General features: G+C 45.9%; 2 protein-coding genes, 1 long non-coding RNA gene and 2 other non-coding genes across 17 annotated transcripts in view, besides 8 other annotated features; 2 read left to right on the top strand and 3 right to left on the bottom strand.

The window, feature by feature from the left end:
• TEX2 (testis expressed 2) overlaps positions 1-4,991 on the top strand; it is a 116,034-nt gene extending 111,043 nt beyond the window's left edge. For all 13 annotated transcript variants that reach the window (XM_017024846.3, NM_001288732.2, XM_011525000.3 and 10 more), the window contains exons 11-12: positions 1,257-1,377; positions 3,127-4,991. In XM_017024846.3, the coding sequence (XP_016880335.1) occupies positions 1,257-1,377; positions 3,127-3,249 (244 nt within the window). In that variant the 3' untranslated portion in view covers positions 3,250-4,991. The remainder of the gene's footprint in view (positions 1-1,256; positions 1,378-3,126) is intronic.
• Positions 5,747-5,879, bottom strand: SNORA50C (small nucleolar RNA, H/ACA box 50C). The gene has a single exon (NR_002995.1). It is a non-coding gene; the product is annotated as a small nucleolar RNA, H/ACA box 50C (small nucleolar RNA).
• Positions 5,820-6,029: an enhancer, noted in NCBI's record as "active region_12587". NCBI's record gives its function as "activates an Ori minimal core promoter by ATAC-STARR-seq in GM12878 lymphoblastoid cells {active_cell/tissue: GM12878}" and the evidence as "EXISTENCE:reporter gene assay evidence [ECO:0000049][PMID:35858748]".
• On the bottom strand, positions 5,909-6,248 carry SNHG25 (small nucleolar RNA host gene 25). The gene is made up of 2 exons (NR_132278.1): positions 6,218-6,248; positions 5,909-5,988 (listed from the first exon to the last, which is right to left on the bottom strand). It is a non-coding gene; the product is annotated as a small nucleolar RNA host gene 25 (long non-coding RNA).
• Positions 6,007-6,561: an enhancer, noted in NCBI's record as "NANOG-H3K27ac-H3K4me1 hESC enhancer chr17:62223017-62223571 (GRCh37/hg19 assembly coordinates)". NCBI's record gives its function as "activates a minimal SCP1, AML or CMV promoter by ChIP-STARR-seq in naive H9 embryonic stem cells {active_cell/tissue: H9 hESC(naive)}" and the evidence as "EXISTENCE:reporter gene assay evidence [ECO:0000049][PMID:30033119]".
• Positions 6,061-6,140, bottom strand: SNORD104 (small nucleolar RNA, C/D box 104). Its single transcript, NR_004380.1, has one exon. It is a non-coding gene; the product is annotated as a small nucleolar RNA, C/D box 104 (small nucleolar RNA).
• Positions 18,565-18,614: an enhancer, noted in NCBI's record as "active region_12586". NCBI's record gives its function as "activates an Ori minimal core promoter by ATAC-STARR-seq in GM12878 lymphoblastoid cells {active_cell/tissue: GM12878}" and the evidence as "EXISTENCE:reporter gene assay evidence [ECO:0000049][PMID:35858748]".
• Positions 20,210-20,269: an enhancer, noted in NCBI's record as "active region_12585". NCBI's record gives its function as "activates an Ori minimal core promoter by ATAC-STARR-seq in GM12878 lymphoblastoid cells {active_cell/tissue: GM12878}" and the evidence as "EXISTENCE:reporter gene assay evidence [ECO:0000049][PMID:35858748]".
• Positions 21,174-21,223: an enhancer, noted in NCBI's record as "active region_12584". NCBI's record gives its function as "activates an Ori minimal core promoter by ATAC-STARR-seq in GM12878 lymphoblastoid cells {active_cell/tissue: GM12878}" and the evidence as "EXISTENCE:reporter gene assay evidence [ECO:0000049][PMID:35858748]".
• Positions 21,274-21,473: an enhancer, noted in NCBI's record as "active region_12583". NCBI's record gives its function as "activates an Ori minimal core promoter by ATAC-STARR-seq in GM12878 lymphoblastoid cells {active_cell/tissue: GM12878}" and the evidence as "EXISTENCE:reporter gene assay evidence [ECO:0000049][PMID:35858748]".
• Positions 21,894-22,023: a silencer, noted in NCBI's record as "silent region_8840". NCBI's record gives its function as "represses an Ori minimal core promoter by ATAC-STARR-seq in GM12878 lymphoblastoid cells {active_cell/tissue: GM12878}" and the evidence as "EXISTENCE:reporter gene assay evidence [ECO:0000049][PMID:35858748]".
• Positions 22,074-23,092, top strand: part of ERN1 (endoplasmic reticulum to nucleus signaling 1) — a 91,003-nt gene continuing 89,984 nt past the window's right edge. Inside the window, exon 1 of the mRNA NM_001433.5 lies at positions 22,074-22,242. Coding sequence (NP_001424.3) covers positions 22,189-22,242 — 54 coding nt within the window. The 5' untranslated portion in view covers positions 22,074-22,188. The remainder of the gene's footprint in view (positions 22,243-23,092) is intronic.
• Positions 22,114-22,563: a silencer, noted in NCBI's record as "silent region_8839". NCBI's record gives its function as "represses an Ori minimal core promoter by ATAC-STARR-seq in GM12878 lymphoblastoid cells {active_cell/tissue: GM12878}" and the evidence as "EXISTENCE:reporter gene assay evidence [ECO:0000049][PMID:35858748]".

Below are 23,092 nucleotides of genomic sequence, written 5' to 3'. Positions count from 1 at the left end.
TATAAAAATGGGCATAAGTGTAAATAGTGATTGCATAAGAGATCTCATTGTACCATAAACTACACTCATAACAAAAATATAGCTCTGTTCTATCATAGAGTAAAACCAACATGCTAGTACATACCATCGGTATTCAGAAGGATTTGTAGGAATGATCAGAAGAGGGGTTTTGAATTGACTAACCATTTAACGATAATGCTGGTATTTCCCAATAAAACTTTAAAATGCCTTTTTATACTTTTTTAAAGTAATATTTTCATTGTTAAAAAAAAGAGAAAGATTGGGAAAAGGTGAAAAATAGATAAATAAATAAAAACCCATAATCTCACCATCCAGAAATAACCACTGTTAATATATTGTATGGTCTTTCAAACCTTAAAAAAATTTTAATAGTTAAAATTGATACATTTCTTCTCCTTACTGCCAATTCTTTAGATTTATCAGTTTTAAATGCCTCTGCTCAGGGGGAGATAAAATAAAAGGGCTCTAGGATAGTGCTACCCAAGGCATGCTCAAATGCTGAACTATGTGTTATTGATCCATAAAGATAAGTATAGAGTGTTTAGAAATATTTATGGCAACTTGACATTTTTACTGTATTTCCAAAAGCACTGGTCCAGGACAGATTTAAGGTTTTAGATAGTTGATAGCATACAGGGTCTTGTCTGGATACTTTGCCAACAGTTCTGATTGCCAGTCTGCTCCCTCGGGAAGTCATACAAAGCGTATTGTTGGGGTGTAGGATGAAAAAACAGGTTTCAAACCTTATTGATCGACATATGCACAGGAGAATGTAAGGGGAGTTCACCCTACTTCTGTCAATAGTCCTCTCTTGGGGATGACATTCAGAGAGAGGCAGTGTGTCTTTCACTCTCTGCTTTATCTGCTTGTATGTATGTTTTGTTTTTGTAATGTACATATACTACTTTTATAAAAATTGAAAGAAAAAAGGTTATTGCCATTTTAGAAAAAAACAGAAACCAATGCCCAGGTCATGGACTTTTCCAGTGGTGCTTCCTGGCTCTCTCAGTTTGTCAGAACTGTTCTAAATCCGCCACAGCCCTAACACCATCCAGGGAACACAGGGGGTTCACAATTCATACTTTGTGTGTGGAATATTTTTAGAGGGCATTTTCAGAAGAAAATAACATTTTAAGTAGTGATAAAGCCCCATGTAAATGAGAACTGTTTGCTGTCAGTGCCTGTCTCATTCCTTGCTTTGCTTCTAAATGTGGTTATTACTTGTCTTCAAAAAGGTATGGTTTCCGAAAGCCACCACATGTGGAGCTGAAAGCTCGGCCAAAACTTGGAGAGAGAGAAGTGACTTTAGTTCATGTGACAGACTGGATAGAGAAGAAACTGGAGCAAGAGTTTCAGGTAAACCTCTAGTGTTATCTAGTATTTCACACCAAGTATAGAAGCTCTGGGTTTAGCCGAGGTTCTGAACTTCAGCTGGGTCAGGATCCTCTTTTGAAAATCTGATGGTGACCTTCATCCCGGAAGAGTATTACATTTGATCAAATATGGGAATAAAACTTCAGGTACAGTATCAAAGCCCTGAAACTTATCCACAGAACATTACTAAGTCATCTTCAGAGGAAACCCAAAAGATTTGGGTCAGAGCAAAATGATGATGTCTTTTCCCAGCAAGCCTGCCAGGACTGTCAGGCTTTGTTTTCTCTTATGCAAGGCCTGGCCTTGCCCAACTCTTAGCACCCGGCCTGTGGGCAGGGAGGCTGCCCCCTGTTCTTGTGTGCTGTTCACCTTGCTCAGTTTGTTCAGTTCAACAAACATTCCTGGAAACCCTTCTGTGTGCCAGGTACCACCTGCCCTGGGAGTCCAAAGATGAATCTGGCCTCTCCCTCCCCTGGGTAGCTTCTAGTGTAGTCTGGGAGTTCATTAAGCCAGAGCTTACTCTCTCAGCTTTTCTTTCTGCATTTGGCCACCAAAGGTAATAGCAGTATAGCTGAGGCCCTAGGATGAGCTATTTCCATCAAACTTTTATCAGATATTTGAAGCACAGTTGTCTGTCGGGGTTTTATGGATTAGCAAACTATTTACTTTTAATGAAATTCACCTTTTGAAGAAGACCTACATTCTTTTTGCAGTGGTATATTTTGAGTTACTGCCTTAAAAAAATCCTCTTATTTAAAAACTAGAGATTAAACATAACTGATAACCAATTTCTGAAAAAGCTTAATGTCATCACCAAATAGAAAAGTACTTTGAACCTACTGAGGGGAAAGAACATCATGCCTTTTATTTTTCCCTTTTTCTTTCTTTTTTTTTTTTTTTTTTTTAAGACAGAGTCTTGCTGTGTCGCCCAGGCTGGAGTGCAATGGCGCCATCTCGGCTCACTGCAAACTCCGTCCCCCAGGTTCACACCATTCTCATGCCTCAGCCTCCCGAGTAGCTGGGACTACAGGCACCCGCCACCACACCCAGCTAATTTTTTGTATTTTTAGTAGAGATGGGGGTTTCACTGTATTAGCCAGGATGGTCTCGATCTCCTAACCTCGTGATCTGCCCACCTCGGCCTCCCAAAGTGCTGGGATTACAGGTGTGAGCTACCATGCCTGGCCTAATTTTTTGGTATTTTTAGTTGAGACAGGGTTTCACCATGTTGGCCAGGCTGGTCTTGAACTCTGGACCTCAGATGATCTGCCTGCCTTGGCCTCCCAAAGTACTGGGATTACAGGCGTGAACCATCGCACCTGGCCATTAGCTTACATTTTATCGCTAGGATTTATTAATAAAAGGATAATTCACATGGAATATGTGTTCTAGACATAGTAACTGGGAACTACTGTGAACAGCTTAAGCCAATTCTCTTAAATTGTTGGATATATATCAGTGCATATGGGCAACCTTATTATATGTATACAAAATCAAAGGCCACTTCTGCCTCCGAGCTGATATATTAGAGGATTCTCGTATCCATGCGCTGGTATGATTCCTCAACTCTTTCTAAAGTATGTATGGTGGGAGAATTAGTTTGGAATGCATAGCAAGTTTTTATATGTACTTTTAAAAATCAGTCTAAGCCCTAAAATTATCAGAACAAAGGAGGGTGACAGCCTGGCAAGGCATTCTTCCACATAGCTGTTCTTTAATATCTTCCTACAGAAAGTTTTTGTCATGCCAAACATGGATGATGTTTATATCACTATAATGCACTCAGCCATGGACCCTCGCTCTACTTCCTGCCTCCTGAAAGACCCACCTGTGGAGGCTGCTGATCAGCCATGATGGGTGATGTCAGATGTTCCCCATATTGTGACATCGAGCTGGATGTGTGGGGTTCTTGGCCGCCATCTGTACTGTAGCACTGGCCTCTGTGCCACAGCTACTGTTTCTTAAAGGACTGCTTCTGCCCTCTGCCTGCCAGTGCCCATTCCACTGTGAGGTGTCATTCCCTGCATCTAGTGACAACTGTCTGGATTGCCTGCTGCAAAGCTTTGATTTGGCAAAGGAGACCATGGAAGAATCATGGTGGATCCAGAAGTTATACGTGACCCACACCATGGCTTTTAAAAGTCTACCCATGTTTGTGGCAGCAAATGAGCACAGTAAGAGCAAAGCTGAACAACTTGCCTCCTCTACTCCTCCAAAGCTTTTCTTCAGGCAGCCGGTGCACAGTGGACTTTTTCACTTCTATACTTTGTATGCGGCCTTCCACACTTCCAGAGAATGTCAGTGTGCAATGTGTCTGGAGGGTGGGGAGAGGAATTCTGTGAGCCTTTTCATTTCGGTGACAGAAGAGATGGGCAGAGCAACTTATTTTCCACATTAAATTGTGCATTTGGGAAGCAAGTAGCCATAGTACACACACAACACGCTATCAGCTTGGGTAAGGACAGTGGGATTTATGTGAACATCAGGCAAAGCCATGAGATCAAACCATCCCAAGCCTTTCACCAATGAGGTACAACCACCTGGGGGCTAGCTAATCTTGAATGTTTTCCTGAGACAGGAGCGTATGTGAAAACATCAAACACTGCACATGACAGGATGGGTCCTCTCATACAGATGGGATGGGGTTAGAAAGCCAGAGCCAGTTTTTCCATCTGGCGTTTCCTGTGTCCTCCAGGTTTATATGGGAATCGAAACAGTTTGTTAATCTGATTGGGAGAGTTCCATGGGCAGATTTCCCTTCCTGAAGGCCAAAACGGAGAACTGCTCTCTTTAATTATTTCAAGAGTCAAGACCAAAAGTTTGCTCAGCATCACACTACATCTCAAAATTAATGTTGCCAACTTAATTTTGTGCATTTGTGTCAGAATGTTTAGTTTACAAGGTTGGGGGCTCTCTTTGCTTCGAGAAGTAAACCTAATACCATTTTTTTATTGTTTAAAGCTGCATTCAACGTCAAAATTACCTTGGGTAACTTTTGATAACTTACATGTGTGGACAAAGCTAATAGTGGTTTTTTAAACAGCACCTTGCCTGAACATGACTTTAAAGAAATTAATATATTGAAAACATGTTTGAACCCTTATTTTAATTGCACCATTAAAACATTTGACTTAAATTGTTTGACCATTCCAGTTGGTGTACTGTTCTGATTTTTCGTTGTGTAGGCCGATCTGCCTGTCAGAGTCCACGTGTCCTGGTCACTGGTCTTTATAATTGTTGTGCAATAACTAAAGGCTAAGGACTAGATGCACTATCGTGTAAAGAGATTACACATGACTGTACCATGTTGCACTTAATCAAATAGTATGTGGGGATTTAAAATCGCTTGCATTGTTTCACAAAATAAATATCTCAATGTCAAATACTAGATAAGCATCTAAGTCATTTCTACGGAATCCTGTTCAGATAGGGGCACAATAAAATGAGTACAGAGCACCGGGGCCCTCACCTGGCAATCGCAGCTTTCATTTACTGCGTTGATCACTGCCCAGTCCTAAGGCTACAAAGCCATCCTCACTACATCCTTCAAACTATGTGCCATTATCTTCAGCCCACATTTAAAGAATCCAGTGAAAGTTCGTAACTGAGGGGGTAGGGCAGTGGTGCTCCTGGGCTGCAGTTTACACCCTTCATTGTCTAGTATAATGTTAATTCGGGACACCTTCATTCATCGAATGTCCATGTAGTGAACGCATACGTGCATCCTTGCCCACCATTGCTGCCCTGTACTCAGAACTGATGCACCTTTCACTGGAGCCCTTGTGGAAGATCTTTTACCAATCACTGAATCTGGACTGTGTAACTAGGTGTCTATGTTGTCCCCAACCATATATAAAATCTAATTCACCTTCACAACCGCCCTATAATTTTGAACTGTTTAGGAGTGACAGATTAACCTGCCCAAAGCTTTAGTCCCATGCTTGTCAGTACTCCTGCATGGTTATTTGTAAACAGGTCGATTACCCTTTAGTCAGGAGTTAACTCAATGCAGTTCCACACCGAATCTGTTTATGTCAAGTACACAACAGCCCTGCAGACGCCATTCCACGCTGCCTTCAACTAAATCTGCGCGTCTGATGGCAGACGCGACAGCCTGGGACTTATGTCGAACTCACGGCGAAGGCACAGCGCGCGCGATACACTCAGGGAAGGCTGGGCTGGGGAACGTATGGGAGCAGAGGGGCACTCCTTACGCATCAAGAGTCCGCGTATCCCCGTCAGCCACCGCCCCCCTAACACGCCATTCCAGCCTTGGTATTACGGATTGAGGCCTGTCGTGGCAAAACAGCTGGAAAATTGCCCAGCCTAGCAGCCGGACAGTCAGGTTACTTCTTGTCGCTCGCGGTTAAAAAGGCCGCCCGCGGGAGGCCAGGCGGCCCCAGTTATGCGCAAGCACATGCTCTAGCGCTGCAGATTGACCCCCGGCGCCACGAGGAAGCTCGGCGGGGGCTCAAAGACAGCGCGTCGCCAACGACACACACCGACACCAGGGTTGGGTTCAAACCACTTTATTGACGGGAATGGGGTGGCAAAGCAGCAAGGACGATGACATCCGACGTCCTCGGCTGGGAGCTACAAGAACGAGAGTGATAGATCAGCGGGTGTGCGCGCGCCCGCCCGCCAGCCCCCTCCCAGCTCCGCTCGGGCAGGCTCAGACTCCAGTTCGCATCACCCGCGTCAGCAGTCTAACACGTGCTTTAATTGGAATGTCATCACAGCAGGCCGGCCCCCCTACGCCTCCCTGCTCCCGAGCCACGACCTCCGGGGCCCACCCAGCCAGACGACCCGCCAGGAATACAACCTGACCTCCCGGAACCTGCAGGCGCTGAAAGACAGGGGAGCGTCGATGGCGTTCTTTTAAAGGAGCAGACCAGCGCTGATGGGCGGGCTTTACTGCCATTAACCAATAGCAAGTTCACCTTGCGACCACGTGCGCGTAAAGTTGTCTGGTGACTGGTAGTCCTTGCTGAGTCCTCCAGAGGATAGATGGGTCACATACCAACCATAGAGATGGGAGTCGCTCAGTCTCAAATCCATTTGCGTTTCAGCGACTCCACCGCCAGCTGGTAATGAGCGCATCTCTCCGCAGTACGCAAAAGAAAACTTCACCAAGAGCAGGCGACGATGATGCCTAACTTGGATGACATGTTCTGTGCCAGGAGCTAGGATAGGAGTTGAGAATGGAAAGTTAAAAACTGTCCCCAAGTGCAAAATAACCTGTCGTGGTAGAAAGAGCTTGTATTGAAAATGGACCGATCTGCACCACATCCTGACTTTGTGATGCGTTCGCTCTGTGACCTTGCTCAGTTAACCTTTCTGAGATTCAGTTTCTGGAAATTAGGAATACCCCCCCGCCGCCCCCCCCCAACACACACACACCGCGAAAAAAAAAAATTGTAAGGATTCGGTGAATTAATGCCAATTGCCTGGCACATTCTAAGTGGTAAACAAAGGTATTTAAAGGGCAGAGTGATGTGAAAAACTTCCTGGGATTGCAAAACTTTAATAAATACTAACATAGCGCTATGAACAGCCTACTGTAGAAGCCCAAAGGACAGAAAGCCTGACTTTGGGAAAGCTTCGCAGAGTTGATTGAGCCTGTTCCCCGGACATACAGGTGGATGAATGATAGTTTGCTTAACTGGGGGAGGACACAGTACACCAGCAGTCACAGTCGCCGGTTATCTTTATTGCCTCCCTGTTTTCCTTGGGAATTCTTTTCCTTTTTTTCCTCTTAATACGGAAAATTTATTGTTTTGTGTGTGTGTGTGTATGTGACAGTGAAATCATTTCACCCTATGGGTTTGTAGTTGAATGGGCTCTTATTTTCCTTATTTTCTATATAGACTTTAAATTCAAAAAATTCCTCTTTGGCCGGGCGCGGTGGCTCACGCCTGTAATCCCAGCACTCTGGGAGACGGAGGCGGATGGATCAGGTCAGGAGTTCAAGAACAGCCTGGCCAACATGGCGAAACCCTGTCTCTACTAAAAATACAAAAATTAGCCGGGCGTGGTGGCAGGCCCCTGTAATCCCAGCTACTCAGGAGGTTGAGGCAGGAGAATCGCTTGAACCCGGGAGGCGGAGGTTGCAATGAGCTGAGATCGCGCCATTACACTCTAACCTGAGCAACAGAGCGAGACTCCATCTCAAAAAAAAAAAAAAAAACCTCTTTAATCCAAAGCAATAATGACTTTGACAAGTGTTTAGTAGTCTCTATTTATTTTTGTTGCTGTTTTAACTTTCGTTATCTCAACATTTATTACATTATGGTACAGTTTCCGCATTGGGCAATGTATGAAAGTTTTCTTTGTGACCTAAAATATCAGTTTTTATAAGTGTTCCACAGATTGTTGAAACGAAGATGTTTTCACTATCAAGTACAAACATGGTATAAAATATTTATTTATTAATTCAACCTTAGTTGTGTTGTAATTACATTGTCCACAGCTCTGCTTTGTGTATTATGTACTTGCTTGGAAGTTGGCTGTTGGCTTTGATTGTGATGTGTTAAGATTATGCCTCAAATACCAAATGCCAGTGAGGATGTGGAGCAACAGAAGCTTTGCTCCATTACTTGTTTCGTTTTGTTTTTTGAGACAGTCTCACTCTGTTGCCCAGGCTGGAGTGCGGTGGCACAATCTTGGCTTACTGCAACCTCCGCCTCCCGACTTCAAGCAATTCTCCTGCGTCAGCCTCCCCAGTAGCTGGAATTACAGGCATGCACAACCATGCCTGGCTAATTTTTGTATTTTTAGTAGAGATGGGGTTTTACCATATTGGCCAGGCTGGTCTCAAACTCCTGACCTCATGATCCTCCCGCCTCAGCGTCCCAAAGTGCTGGGATTACAGGCGTGAGCCGCCGCGCCCGGCCTGCTCTTTTCTTTTCTTCTCCTCTTCTCTTTTCTTTTCTTTTCTTTTTTGAGACAGAGTCTGGCTCTGTCGCCCAGGCTGGAGTACAGTGGCACTATCTTGGCTCACTGCAACCTCTGCCACCCGGGTTCAAGCGACTCTGCTGCCTCAGCCTCCCTAGTGCTGGGACTACAGGCACGGACCACCATGCCCGGCTAATTTTTGTATTTTTAGTAGAGACGGGGTTTCACCATGTTGGCCAGGCTGGTCTTGAACTCCTGACCTCAAGTGATCCACCCGCCTCAGCCTCCCAAAGTGCTGGGATTACAGGCATGAGCCACCGTGCCTGGCCTGCTTTTTTATTTTCTTGACAGTGTCTTTCAAAGAGGAGACATTTTTAATTTTGATGAAAATCTAATTTATCAATTTTTTAATAGACAGTACTTCTGGTTTCATATCTAAGAAATCTTGGCCTAATACAGATTTTTCTTTTATATGGTTTCTTCTAGAAGTTTAATTTAATTTAATTTAATTAATTAATTAATTTATTGAGACGAAGTCTCGCTCTGTCACCAGGCTGGAGTGCAGTGGTGCGATCTCAGCTCACTACAACCTCTGTCTCCCAGGTTCAAGTGATTCTCTTGCCCCAGCCTCCCGAGTAGCTGGGATTACAGGCGCACGCCACCATGCCTGGCTAATTTTTGTATTTTTAGTAGAGATGGGGTTTCACCATGTTGGCCAGGATGATCTCAATGTCTTGACCTCGTGTTCCGCCCACCTTGACCTCCCAAATTTCTTGAGATTACAGGCGTGAGCCACTGCGCCCGCTCTTCGAGAAGTTTTATAGTGTTTGCTCTCGCATTCAGGTCTATTATCTTTTTCAAGTTAATTTTTGTGTCTAGTGTGAGACAAGAGTTAGGTTCATTTGTTTGTATATGGATATTCACTTGTTCCAGCACCATTTGTTGAAGAGGATATCCTTTCACTTAAAGTACCTTGTCATGTTTGTAAAAAAAAAAAAAATTGACCATATATGAGTTGGTTTGTTTCTAAGCAGTATCTTCTTTTGCACTGTTATTTATCTACCCTTTATTACCATTGCTTTATAGTACATCTTAAAATCAGATATACAAGATCTGTAACTTTGTCCTCTTTCAAAATTATTTTGACTATTTTAGGTTGTTTGTATTTCCAGAAACATTTTAGAATCAGCTTGTCAATTTCTACAGAAGACCAGTAGGAATTTTGCCTGAAATTATATTGAATCTGTAGATCAATTTGGGAATAATTGACATCTTAACAACACTCAGTCTTTCATCCCATGAATACAGTATATTTCTTCATTTAAGTCTTATTCATTTCCCTCAGCAATGTCATAGTTTTCATTGTACAATCTTGCATATATTTTGTGAAATTTATCCCTCAGGATTTCATTTATAATGCTATTATGAATGATACTATATTTATTCTTTTTTTTTTAGTCAAGCCTCTAACATGAGAGATACTATTTTTAAATTTCAATTTCCAAGAGTTCATTGCTGGTATATAGAAATGCAATTTCTATTAATTTAAATCTAATTTTACTAAAATCATTTTAATAAATTTTTGTAATTTGGTAAATTTTTGTAAATTGATTCCATCTTCTGTAGGGTGGGTACAATCAAAGGTGAACTTGAGAACTGGCTTCTATTTTTTGCCCCACCTCATCACAAGCTTTTTCCACAGGTGCCCTGGAAGCAGTTGAGGCAGAAAAGGCCCATGGGTTATTTAGAAGAATGATGTTAATTTCCAAATAGTGACCGGGAATGGTGGCTCACGCCTGTCATCCCAGCACTTTGGGAGGCTGAGGTGGGCGGACCACAAGTTCAGGAGTTCGAGACAAGCCTGGCCAATATGGTGATTACAGGCACATGCCACCATGCCCAGCTAATTTTTTTTTTTTTGTATTTTTAGTAAAGACAGGGTTTCACCATGTTGGCCAAGCTGGTCTTGAACTCCTGACCTCAAGTGGTCCACCCACATCGGACTCCCAAAGTGCTGGGATTACAGGCATAAGCCACTGCACCTGGCCTATATTTTTAAATATTTATTTATTTATTTATGTGTTTTTATTTTATTTTTGAGACATGGTCTCACTCTGTCACCCAGGCTGGAGTGGAATGCAGTGGTGCAATCATGGGTCACTGCAGCCTCACCCTCCTGAACTCAAGAGATCCCTGGGCCTCAGCCTCCTAAGTAGCTGGGACTACAGGAGTGCACTACCATGCCCCGCTAAGTTTTTAAATTTTATTTTAGAGACAGAGTCTCATTATGTTGGCCACACTGGTCTTGAACTCACAGTCTCAGGCAGTCCTTCCCCCTCTGCCTTCCAAAGTGCTGGGATTACAGGTGTGCGCCACCATGCTACCCTCCTTTTTTTTTTTTTTAAATTGGCAACACTTCATTCCATAAAATAGAATAAGTGTTTCCAGAATGTGTATTCTTTTGTTGTTGGGTATAATGTTTTATAAGTGTAAAGGAGATCAAGGTAGTTGATAGTGTTATTCAAATCTCAATGGGAGGGTGGCGATTTTGCCATCCAGGGAACATTTGGCAATATCTGGAGACATTTTTGTTTTTCACAACTAGGAGGGATGCCCTGACACCTATTAGGTAGTGTTATGGGTTGTATCCTCCAAAAGGAAATGCTGAAGCTGGCCAGGCATGGTGGCTCATGCTTGTAATCTCAGCACTTTGGGAAGCTGAGGCAGGAGAATTGCTTGAGGCTAGGATTTCAAGACCAGCCTGGGCAACAAGCAAGACCCCCATCTCTACAAAAAAATTTAAAAAGTTAGCCAGCCACAGTGATTTGTGCCTGTAGTCCCAGCTACTCAGGAGGCTAAGGCAGGAGGATGGCTTGAACCCAGGAGTTGGAGGCTGCAGTGAGCCATGATCGTGCCACTGCACTCAAGCCTAGGTGACAGAGACTCTGTGTCAAAAAAAAAAAAAATGTTGTAACCTTAACCCCCATCACCTGTGAATGTGACCTTATTTGGAAACAGGGTCTTTACAGATATAATCAAGGTGAGTTCATAGGATGGGCCCTAATCCAATTTGATGTTCTTATAAGAAGCAGGATAAATTTGGATACAGAGACACACGAGGGGAAAACAGCCATTTGAGGACAGAGGTAGAGATTGGAGTTAGTCTGCCACAAGCCAAGGATACCTGGGGCTCCCAGAAGCTGGAAGATGCATAGAAGGACCCTTCCCTAGAGGGTTCGGAGACAGCGTGGCCCTGCCAACACTTTTGTCTCAGACTTCTAGCCCCAGAACTGTGAAAGAATAAATTTCTGTTGTTTTGAGCCACCCAGTTTGCAGTACTTTGATATGGCAGCCCTAGGTAACTCATACAGATAAAGACCAGGGATACTGCTAAACATTCATATATATGTTTGTTTATTTATTTATTTTTGTAGAGATGAGGTTTCACCATGTTGCCTGGGCTGGTCTCAAACTCCCGGACTCAAGTGATTCGCTCTCCTCGGCCTCTCAAAGTGCTATGATTACAGGCGTGAGCCACCACACCTGGCCTGCTGCTAAACATACCACAATGCACAAGACAGCCCCCCACAACAAAGACTGAGCTGGTCAATTACAAGTAAAATTAAAAACTTGGCCAGGCATGGTGGCTCACGCTTGTAATCCCAGCACTTCGGGAGGCCGAGGTGGGCGGATCTCCTGAGGTCAGGAGTTCAAGAACAGCCCGGCCAACATGGTGAAACCCAGTCTCCACCAAAAATACAAAAATTAGCCAGGCGTGGTGGCTCACATATAGTCCCAGCTACTCAGGAGGCTGAGGCAGGAGAATCACTTGAACCCGGGAGGCAGAGGTTGCAGTGAGCCGAGGCAGCGCCACTGCACACCAGCCTGGGTGACAGAGTGAGACTCCATCTCAAATAAATAAATAAATAAATAAATACAAACAAACAAATTATCTGGCCAAAAATGTCAGTAACACAGAGGCTGAAAATCGTTCTCTTATAATTTAGTGTCTGCCTACTTATCCTATCAGTAAATGAGTGTTGAAATCTAATCTAATTGTGGGTTTATTTTTTTCACCCCATCAGTTGTTTCAATTTTTCCTTCACGTATTTTCAAACCGTTTTTAGGTGTTTACACGTTTAGGATTGCTATGTTTTGTGCATGAACAGACTCTTTATCATTGTGAAATGCCGCTTTTTATCTCTGGTAACATTCCTTGTATTAAAGTCAGTTCCAATGTCAGTATAACCTTTCCAACTTTCTTATCGGTTTCACAAGGTCTATCTTATTTTTCTCCATCTTTTCACTTTTAGTCTACCTATGCCTTTGTATCTGAAGTTTAATTTTTGTAGTCATCATATAATGGTCTTGATTTCTTTCTTTCTTTCTTTCTTTTTTTTTGAGACAGAGTCTCGCTCTCTTGCTCTGTTGCCCAGGCTGGAGTGCAGCGGCATTATCTCGGCTCACTGCAAGCTCCGCCTCCTGGGTTCACACCATTCTCCTGCCTCAGCCTCCTAAGTAGCTGGGACTATAGGCGCCCGCCACCATGCCCGGCTAATTTTTTTGTATTTTTTAGTAGAGACGGGGTTTCACTGTGTTAGCCAGGATGGTCTCGATCCCCTGACCTCGTGATCCACCCGCCTCGGCCTCCCAAAGTGCTGGGATTACAGGCGTGAGCCACCGCGCCCGGCCGATTTTTTTTCAGCTTGGTCATTTTCAGCCTTTTACTTGGCCTGTATAGACCACTTATATTTTTATAATAGCTTTATTGAAGAATAATTTACATACCATACAACGAACTCATTTAGGTAAAAATTCAGGCTGGGCACCGTGGCTCATGGCTGTAATCCCAGCACTTTGGGAGGCCAAGGTGGGAGGATTGCTTGAGCCCAGGAGTTGGAAACCAACCTAGGCAACATAGGGAGACCTCATCTCTACAAATAATTTTTAAAAAATTAGCCAGGCACGGTGGCGGGGCACCTGTAGTCCCAGCTACTCCGAAGGCTGAAGCGGGAGAATTGCTTGAGCCCAGGAGGTTGAGGCTGCAATGAGCCATGATCACACCACTGCACTCTAGCCTGGGCAACAAAGTGAAACTTTGTCTCAAAGAAAATAAAGTACAAATTCAATGGCTTTGGTGTATTAACAGAGTTGTGCAGCCATCACTGCCATCGACTTCAAAATATTTTCATTAACCCAAATAGAAATCCACACTCCTTTATCATCACTCTCCAGTCTCCCTCATCTGCTTCCCCTTCCCTAAGCAACCGCTCATCTACTTTCTGTCTTTCTAGATTTGGACATGTTATATACACAGAATGGTACAACATATGGTCTTTTGTGACTGGCTTCTTTCACTAAGCATAACTTCCTCAAGGTTCATCCCTATTGGAGCATGTATCAATACTCCATTGCTTTTCAATTGTTAAATATTCCATTAAATAGATAATGCCATATTTTGTTGATCCATTTCAGTTGATGGACACTTGGGTTGGTTCCACTTTTTGACTATTATGAATAATGTTGCCATGAACATTTGTGTACAAGTTTTTGTATGGGTGTATTTTTTTTTATTTTTATTTTTTAGACAGAGTTTTGTTCTTGTTGCCCAGGCTGGAGTGCAATGGTGTGATCTTGGCTCACTGTAACCTCTGCCTCCCGGGTTCAAGTGATTCTCCTGCCTCAGCCTCCTGAGTAGCTGGGATTACAGGCATGCGCCAGCATGCCCAGCTGATTTTTTATTTTTAGTAGAGACGGGGTTTCGCCATGTTGGTCAGGCTGGTCTCAAACTCCCGACCTCAGGTGATCTGCCTGCCTTGGCCTCCCAAAGTGCTGGGATTACAGGCGTGAGCCACTGCACCCGGCAGTGTGTTTTAATTTCTCTTCGGGAAGTATTTGCTTTTTAATTGGGAAGTTCCCCTTGTTTTTTTGTAATTTACTATGCTGACTATGTTTTGTTTCATTTTGTTTCATCTTCTGTAGTAATTTGTAATCAAGCCACCTTTTAAAATTTTCTAAGTTCTCTCTAGTGCTGTTCGTAAATACTATGTAAAATTATGTAATTTTTACATATATATAAATTATATATATATAATTTCAGAATGCTTTTTATTTTAATGGAAAACGTAAAGTAACTGACCAGCTGACACAACTTGAAAACCCAGAGGAACCACAGCCGGGCATGGTGGCTCACACCTGTAATCCCAGCATTTTGGGAGACTGAGGTGGGCGGATCACTTGAGGTCAGGAGTTCGAGACCAGCCTGACCAACATGGTGGAACCCCATCTCTACTAAAAATACAAAAATTAGCTGGGCACGGTGGCACACACCTGTAGTCTCAGCTACTCGGGAGGTTGAGGCACAAGAATCACTTGAACCCAGGAGGCAGAGGTTGCAGTGAGATGAGATTGTGCCATTCCACTCCAGCCTGGGTGACAGAGCAAGACTCCGTCTCAAGAAAAAAAAAAAAAAAAAAAAAACCAGAGGAGCCAGACTCCAGGCAACACTTGCCCCATGGCCCCACTCAGCCACCGTGCTGACAGCATCATCCTAAGGGCAGACCCAGCAGCTCCTGGGCTCCCTGCTCCCTCACATGCATTCCCCCTGAAGATTTTTCATATCATGGGTTCATCCTGAACCAACTACTGTGGGAAGGGCTTCCATGAAGTTACTCGGTGCTTTCCTTTCCCCAGGCCTTTGTTCAGATCCTCCTTGTGCCTCTAGAATGTCCTTTCTAGTCAAATCTGACAGATGGCACATTCCAGACATCACTTCTTCCATGAAGCCCTCCCTGCTCTATCCATCCACCACCTTCCTTCCTGATCTCTCTCTTGATGACCAAAGTTCTGTTTCTCTAAGTTTATTCCCTCCCTCTTGCACTTTTCACAGTCAGTCTTTATTATTATTATTATTATTATTATTATTATTATTTTTAGATGAAGTTTTGCTCTTGTCGCCCAGGCTGGAGTGCAATGGCATGATCTCAGCTAACTGCAACCTCTGCCTCCTGGGGTTCAAGTGATTCTCCTGCCTCAGTCTCCCAAGTAGCTGGTACTAAAGGCATCTGCCACCACACCCAGCTAATTTTTGTATTTTTAACAGAGACAGGGTTTCACCATGTTGGCCAGGCTGGTCTCAAACTCCTGACCTCAGGTGATCTGCCTGCCTCGGCCTCCCAAAGTGCTGGGATCACAAGCGTGAGCCACCACACCAGGCCTTCACCATCAGTCTTGTACCTTGGTTATTTCTGTGCATGTCCTGTATCAACCTGAAAATTCTCTAATATTTCCTTATGGCACTAATCCCTGGTACTTGGAAGCCTTCAGTGATTTTTGTTGAATGAATGCATTGTAGTTATCCATGTAGAGGTCAAAGATGAAGTCATCTGCGAAATGAAGCTGACTACATTATGGCTAAAGTGCCTTTCTGCTCTAAAATTTGGTATATAAAAGGCCGGGCGCGGTGGCTCATGCCTGTAATCCCAGCACTTTGGGAGGCTGAGGCGGGTGGATCATGACGTCAGGAGTTCAAGACCAGCCTGGCCAAGATGGTGAAACCCCGCCTCTACTAAAAATACAAAAAATTAGCCAGGCTTGGTGGCAGGCACCTGTAATCCCAGCTACCTGGGAGGCTGAGGCAGAGAATTGCTTGAACCCGGGAGGCAGAGGTTGCAGTGAGCCAAGATCACGCCACTGCACTCTAGCCTGGGCGACAGAAAGACTCTGTCTCAAAAATAAATAATAAAATAAAATAAAATTTGGTATATAAAATATGTTAAATGAGTCCTCCTAGGAAGAAAGGAAAGAGAAAATAGATAAGGTCTACATATTAAGCCTCAAGCAATGTACTGGCTGGCCACAGGGGCTCATGCCTGTAATTCCAACACTTTTTTTTTTTTTTTTTTTTTGAGACAGAGTCTTGCTCTATCGCCCAGGCTGGAGTGCACTGGCACGATCTCGGCTCACTGCAATCTCTGCCTCTGGGGTCCAAGTGATTCTTCTGCCTCAGCCTCCCGAGTAGCTGGGACTACAAGCACGTGCCACCACGCCCGGCTAATTTTTGTATTTTAAGTAGAGATGGGGTTTCACCATATTGGCCAGGCTGGTCTCGAACTCCTGACCTCCTGATCCGCCCTCCCTGGCCTCCCAAAGTGCTGGGATTACAGGCGTGAGCCACCGCACCAGGCCAAATCCCAGCACTCTGGGAGGCTTAGGCAGGCTGATTGCTTGAGCTCATGAGTTTGAGACCAGCCTGGGCAACAAAGTGAGACCCACTCGCCTGGCATCTACAAAATATAAAAAAATTAGCTGGGTGTGATGGTGCCTGTCTGTGGTCCCAGCTACTCCAGAGGCCGAGAAGAGAGGATGGTATGCCCCTGGAGGTTTCAGCCTGGGAGGCAGAGGTTGCAGTGAGCCTAGATCACACCACTGCACTCTAGCCTGGGCAATAGACGCAGACCCTGACTCAAACCCCGTCCCTACCCCCACCCCCTGCCCCCCAAATAAACCACACAGAATCTGGAAGGAGGAAAAAAAGCAGAGACACAGGAGGAAAGCCAGAAAATGGTAATATCCAAGGAGGAAAAGTTCAAGAGAAAAGAACCCTTAATATACCTGAATTGAAAAGAGGCCCGGTGGCTGGGGGGAAAAAAACAAACCCAGGAATTAGGTCCAAAGGGATTTTACAAGAGGAAGAATGTTTATGAAGTGCTTGAGAGAAGTTTCCAGAGAGTTCTGTGGAATTAAGCCAGACCTCAGGGGATTAGGACGGCCTGGCCAGTGAGGAAGTGGAGGTACTTTGAGAGATGGCCGTTTCCATCTTGGTGCTGCCTTGGCCCTTTGAGAATATTAATGTATATAAACTGGGGACACGGATACTTTCTGTGGCGGTGTATAGACTTGGCACAAATGCGTGTGAAATACAACACCCAGAGACAAGTGAACAAATAACCAGTCAGGATTAGCCTAAGCTACCCCACAGGGTAGAACCTGGGAGTGGGGTGGTGAGTGATAGGTAGCGGGGCAGAGGCCTTGTCTCTTAAAATTAAATAACATCCACTACATCAGGCAAAGGTCATGGTCTTAGAGTAAAGATAAGACAAGATGATACCATAAAGCATGTAGTTGCACATTTCCAAACAGCAAACAGCCAATAAAAAAGATAATAAGAAATAATCACTTTTTACTCCTTATGGTATAATGTGAAAAAAAAGAAATAATCACTTTTGCAACCTAAGAAAGTGTGTAGTGAGTGGGATTCTGTGGTAAAGGGAAGTTCTTAAACAAGTGTCACAATCTTTTCAAATCCAGTCATCCTAGAACAGGAAAAGCCAAAGTCCTATTTACCTAAAAACCAAAGTGTTCACAGTGAGAACAACTTTTAAAATGTCCCTTAAACGTGACGGGAGGACGGAGATGAGAATTTAGCTTGCTATCAGAGACTCTTGCTTCATTGTTTTTTGTGTTTGTTTGTTTGTTTGTTTTGAGACAGGGTCTCGCTCTGCTGCCCAGGCTGGAGTGCAGTGGTGCTATGACAGCTCACTGCAGCCTCCACCTCTCAGGCTCAAGCAATCCTCTCACCTCAGCTTCCAGAGTAGCTGGGACTACAGGTGTGCACCATGGCACCTGGCTAATTATTTTATTTTTTTGTAGGGACAAAGTGTCACTATGTTGCCCAGACTGGTTTCAAACTCTTAGGCTGAAGATACCCGCCACCTCAGCCTCCCAAAGTGCGGGATTACAGGTGTAAGTCACAGCGCCTTGCCCCTTTATGGTTGTATTAATATTTATCCCATAACTACTTCCACACACTCTGTAGGTTCAGTTCAAGAAGCAGCAGCAGCGATATCACTAAAAACAACAACAACAAAAAAACTGACTTGATTTATTCTGATAAAGATACTATTCCTTTGAAATGTTACTGGAGTTTTCAACCATGACCTTTCTTTCTGGTTTTACTAGATTTTTCTTTCAAGTCTCCGCCTTCAAAGGTATCTATCCTGTCACTAGCTATCTGCAAATCAACCTCACAAGCATTTTTAAATGAGATTTTGAAGGGTTTTAAACACAAATGAGACAGGCACAAGCTCCTTTTTTGGGTCATAATTTATTACACTAGAGGGCGATATTTGCTAAACTAAAAGGGATTCATGGTTGCAGGGATGAAGGCTGGACATCATGATTGAGCTGGAGCCCTGGATCTTGACTGCCTTCAGTGTACGGTGGAAACTGCAAAACGCACAGGTCTCTGGGCTCTGCCCCTGGACATTGTGAATCAGTCAGGGAAAGGGGTACAAGAAGTTATTGGAAATATGTTTTTAATTTCTTTTTTTTTGTTTGTTTTTTGAGATGGAGTCTCACTCTGTCGCCCAGACTGGAGTGCAGTGGCGCAGTCTTGGCTCACTGCAACCTCTGCCTCCCGGGTTCAAGAGATTTTTCTCCCTCAGCCTCCCAAGTAGCTGGGACTACAGGCGCACACCACCACGCCCGGCTAATTTTTGTTTTTTTAGTAGAGACAGGGTTTCACCATGTTGCTCAGGCTGGTTGGTCTTGAACTCCTGACCTCGTGATCCACCTGCCTCGTCCTCCCAAAGTGCTGGGATTACAGGTGTGAGCCACCATGCCCAGCTTTTTATTTCTATTTTTTTGAGACAGGGTCTTGCTCTGTCGTCCAGGCTGGAGTGCCATGGCACGATCAAAGCTCACTGCAGCCTTGACCTCCTGGGCTCAAGCCATCCTCCCACCTCAGCTTCCCAAGTCACTGGAACTACAGGTGTGAACCACTATGCCTGACTAATTTTTTGGTTTTTTGTTTTTTTTTTTTTACAGAAACAGGGTCTCACCATGTTCCCTAGGCTGGTCTTGATCTCAAGCAATCCTCCTGCTTCGGCCTCCCAAAGTGCTGGGATTACAGGCGTGAGCCACCATGCCTGGCCTGGAAATCTGTTTTTTGTTGTTGTTGTTTTGTTTTGTTTTTTTAGCTCTCCAAGTTTGGGAACCAGTGGTTTAAAGGGAAGTGAAAATAAGATTTTCTCCCACCTCCCCATAGTCAGATCCTGCTGTACTTCTTTGTTGAATCTGATGTATATATGTTTCTTACACTGGTGGAAAAGAGGCCTTATCTTTACACTAAGACCATGACCTTTGCTTTATTCAGTGGATGTTATTTAATGTGACTTGCAGAAAGGTCATTTACTGCCCATTTGCAGGTCTTTTATATGGTCAGGTCCACTTCAAAGGCACCCTACAAAATATTCCATTTCTGTTTGTGTTTATCAGTGCTATCAGCTTTTACTTTATCATAAGCAAAAAGCTGCCTAAAGAAGTACTTGACTGTAGAGCAAGATTATGGGCAATGCCACCATAAATAAAACCAGTGCTTATCTGTCTGGATTGCCAATCAAGTGAAGAAGTGCATGAAGCATGTGGACGATGCATAAGAAATTCAGAGAATGGGGCCGGGCACAGTGGCTCACGCCTGTAATCCCAGCACTTTAGGAGGCGGAGGTGGGCAGATCACGAGGTCAGGAGTTCGAGACCAGCCTGGCCAACATGGTGAAACCCCGTCTCTATAAAAATACAAAAATTAGCCAGGCGTGGTGGCAGGCACCTGTAATCCCAGCTACTCGGGAGTCTCAGGCAGGAGAATCGCTTGAAACCGAAAAGGCAGAGGTTGCAGTGAGCCACGATCGTGCCACTGCACTCTAGCCTGGGCAAAAGAGTGAAACTCTGTCTCAAAAAAAAAAAAAAAAGAAAGAAATTCAGAGAACATGTAACAGTGCAATTAAGCCCTGGGGATTTGGTCCAACTGAGTGTAAGATAAATAATACCTAACTGTCCAGGCTTCTTGGAACAGATTTTTTTTCTTTCTACGATCTTTAAAACTGATTTATGAGTGAAATTGAGGTCAGCATTCCCCTTTGTGTTTCATCTGCTGATGTTACAGGGTCACAGTGACATTTTGAATTGTAAAAGGGCTGCCAGAGTTCCAGTACAGCAAATTTTCCCCTCCTAGACTTACTCTGTTTGAGAAAAAGCACCAGAGGGGGGGATGTGAAAGTGACATTTTTCAGTCAAGCTTCTCTTTTAAGTCAAGTATACAGGGTCTAACAGATGCTGTTGTCAGCTGGCAAACTGGACAGGTAATCACTAAAGAGGTCCTCCCAAGCCAGGTGTCGTGGGGCACACCTGAAGTCCCAGCTACTGGGGAGGATCTCTTGAGCCCAGGAGTTTGAGAGCAGCCTGGGCAACACCGTGAGACCTCATCTCTAAAAAGAAAAGATAAAAGGTCAAGAAATAAAGAGCTCCTCCCAGTTTCAGGGCTGTAGGCCTCCCTGGAAGCCCGGCTATACTGCTCAGGAGTGCTGGGCCTCTCAGTACATCTCTCTGCCAATCCCAAACCTCTGTTTGCATTTAGACATTCAGGTAACACTTTTCAAAATGTCTCTACTGTTTTCACAGTTGCCAAGATTCTTCCCACTCTTACAGAGATGTGTTGGAGTCTCCAGCATGCGGTAGGACTTAGTCCCTTCACTGTAATCCAGGCCTAGGGGGTTAGGAATGGGGAGCTCTATTTGCAGGATTTGGGCTTACTGTCATTTTGGTCTGTTTTAGTTGGATAAGATTGACCACAATGCACACAGACTGGACATTTGGCCAGTCCCCCACTACTACTTTGTTGTTTTGTCTAGGAGTGCTTATTCTTTTCCTTCAAACCTGAAAAATCTTAGGCTCTCATATAAGCAAGTCAGGAAAAATTAGAGAATTTCATAGCCGTTTTCTTTTTCTCCTAGGATAAGTTAGATACCTTTCCCTGGGCTCCAAATCTCAGTTTACTGTCTTTCCTTGCAAAAGACGTGTCCTCCCTACCCATGTCCCTCTCAGTGGAGGCCAGTGCCAGTGACCAAACAGCTGCCGAGCTCTTTAACTCTAATTAGTACTCCACACCCTCACATAGACCTTGCAGGAGGCCTCAACCCACCCACTCCCTCCAACGAGTTGTGACGCAGACCATCTCAAACTTCACATCCACACGTGTCACATCAACGCACGTGACACAAGTGGCCGAAATGGTTTCCTCCTTATAATTTTTGGTGAGTGACTTGGCCGTGGTTCATTCCAAGCGGAAGTGATGGCTGGTGGATATGACTTGAGGGGAATTCCTGAGGGCAAGGAAAAGGAAGAAAGGGGCCCCAGAGAAGACGAGGCACAGCTGGAGAACCCTAGGGCTGTGAACACTGCGACTGCCGCGCGGGGCAGCTGCGCCGTGTTTGCTGGAAGCCTCCGGTAGCTGCTGAAACCTTCGCTCCGGAGGTCGCCTCGGTAAACCTTGCGGATGATTCCACCACGGCGGAAAGACGAAAAGGAGGCTTCTAGGCACCCGGGACCGCCCGTGTCCCGCCCTTTTCCCCGATGAAGTCTGACGCGGCAGGTCCCTCGGCAGGGTTAATGGGACGGCCTGGTGGGGCATTGCCGGTCTTTCCCAGCCACAGACAAGCTTCGCGCCTCGATCCCCCAGCGCCCCCAGACGCTGGATGCCGAGGCCTGGTCCTTTACAGCCGCCGACGCCTCATGAGCGAAGCCAGCCAGATGCCAGCACCGCCTTCGGCCCCGCCCCGAGCCAGCCCCTCCCACATCCCCGCCCGGGGCACGCCCTCGGCCCGCCCCCATCTCCGCCCCGAACACGCCCCTAGATTGGCCCCGCCCCGTCCCCGCCCGCAACTCCGCCCCGACCGGAAGAAGCCGCGGCACCCAGCGCTTATAGGGCCGGGAATGGGGGTGCCGCCGCTGCCTAGTCAGTTCTGCGTCCGCTGAGGCTCGGTCACCGCCTCGCTGTCGTCGCGGCGCCCCCGCCCCGTCCTCTGTCCGTACCGCCCCCGGAGCCAGGGCCGAGTCCTCGCCATGCCGGCCCGGCGGCTGCTGCTGCTGCTGACGCTGCTGCTGCCCGGCCTCGGGGTGAGTGACCGGGGAGCGTGGGGTGGAGGACAGCTCGCGACGGCCGGGTCGGGGCCGGGGCAGCGTCGCGGCGCCGGGGCTGGAGTCCGAGCTGGGAGCGCGACGGCGGCGGCCAGATGCCCCGTGAGCCCAGCCGTGGGAGGCTCGGGCCGGGCGTAGGAGGCGGCACCGGGCCGGGAGAGCTTCCCTGACGGGAGTCGCGGCCCCACCGAGGCGTCGGCCGCCCGAAGAGCCTCCCAAGCCAGCGCGGCTGTCACGGGCAGCGGCTCCCCGGACCCCGCGGGCTCGGGCGCAACTTCGTGGCGTCCTGCACGGCACTTGGGGGTCCCAGAAGGCCCCGGCCTGAGGAGGCCGCCCACCTGCGGGACCCTCCTCCTCGCGGGCGGGCGCCGGCGCTGCCTGGCGGGGGCCGCGGAGGAGCCGAAAGGGCGTTGGGATCCAGGGGAAGGGTCTGTCCTGCGCTTCGAATCCTTGTTTGAACTTTTTAAAAATTCGAAAACTTTGGGGAACGAATGCAACAGGGAGTAAGGACTCTCACCCGAGAGCTGGCTTCTGCCACTTGCCCTGCCGGTTTCTTGGTACTGGGAGGCTGCAGGCTTCCTTCTGTGCACCGAGACTTCCTTGAGCAAGTGGAGCTGTGGGAATTGCACTCTTGGAAGATCCCGCATGGGTTCGAGGTGAGGCCGCTTCAGAACCTCAAATGAAAGACTGTCTCCTCGTGGGAGAGCACCTGGGGCCATCAGAAATGTCTTTTCATCTTTTTCTGGAGGAGACGAATGATAGGGCCTGGTTTACATTCATTTAACTCTTTATGACCTTCACTCAGCTGTGGATTTGGGGGCACTTTGTG

The sequence above is a fragment of the Homo sapiens genome, chromosome 17 (genome assembly GCF_000001405.40).
Source record: "Homo sapiens chromosome 17, GRCh38.p14 Primary Assembly".
Taxonomy (NCBI): Eukaryota; Metazoa; Chordata; class Mammalia; order Primates; family Hominidae; genus Homo; species Homo sapiens.
This window is presented reverse-complemented; position numbering and strand designations above follow the sequence as displayed.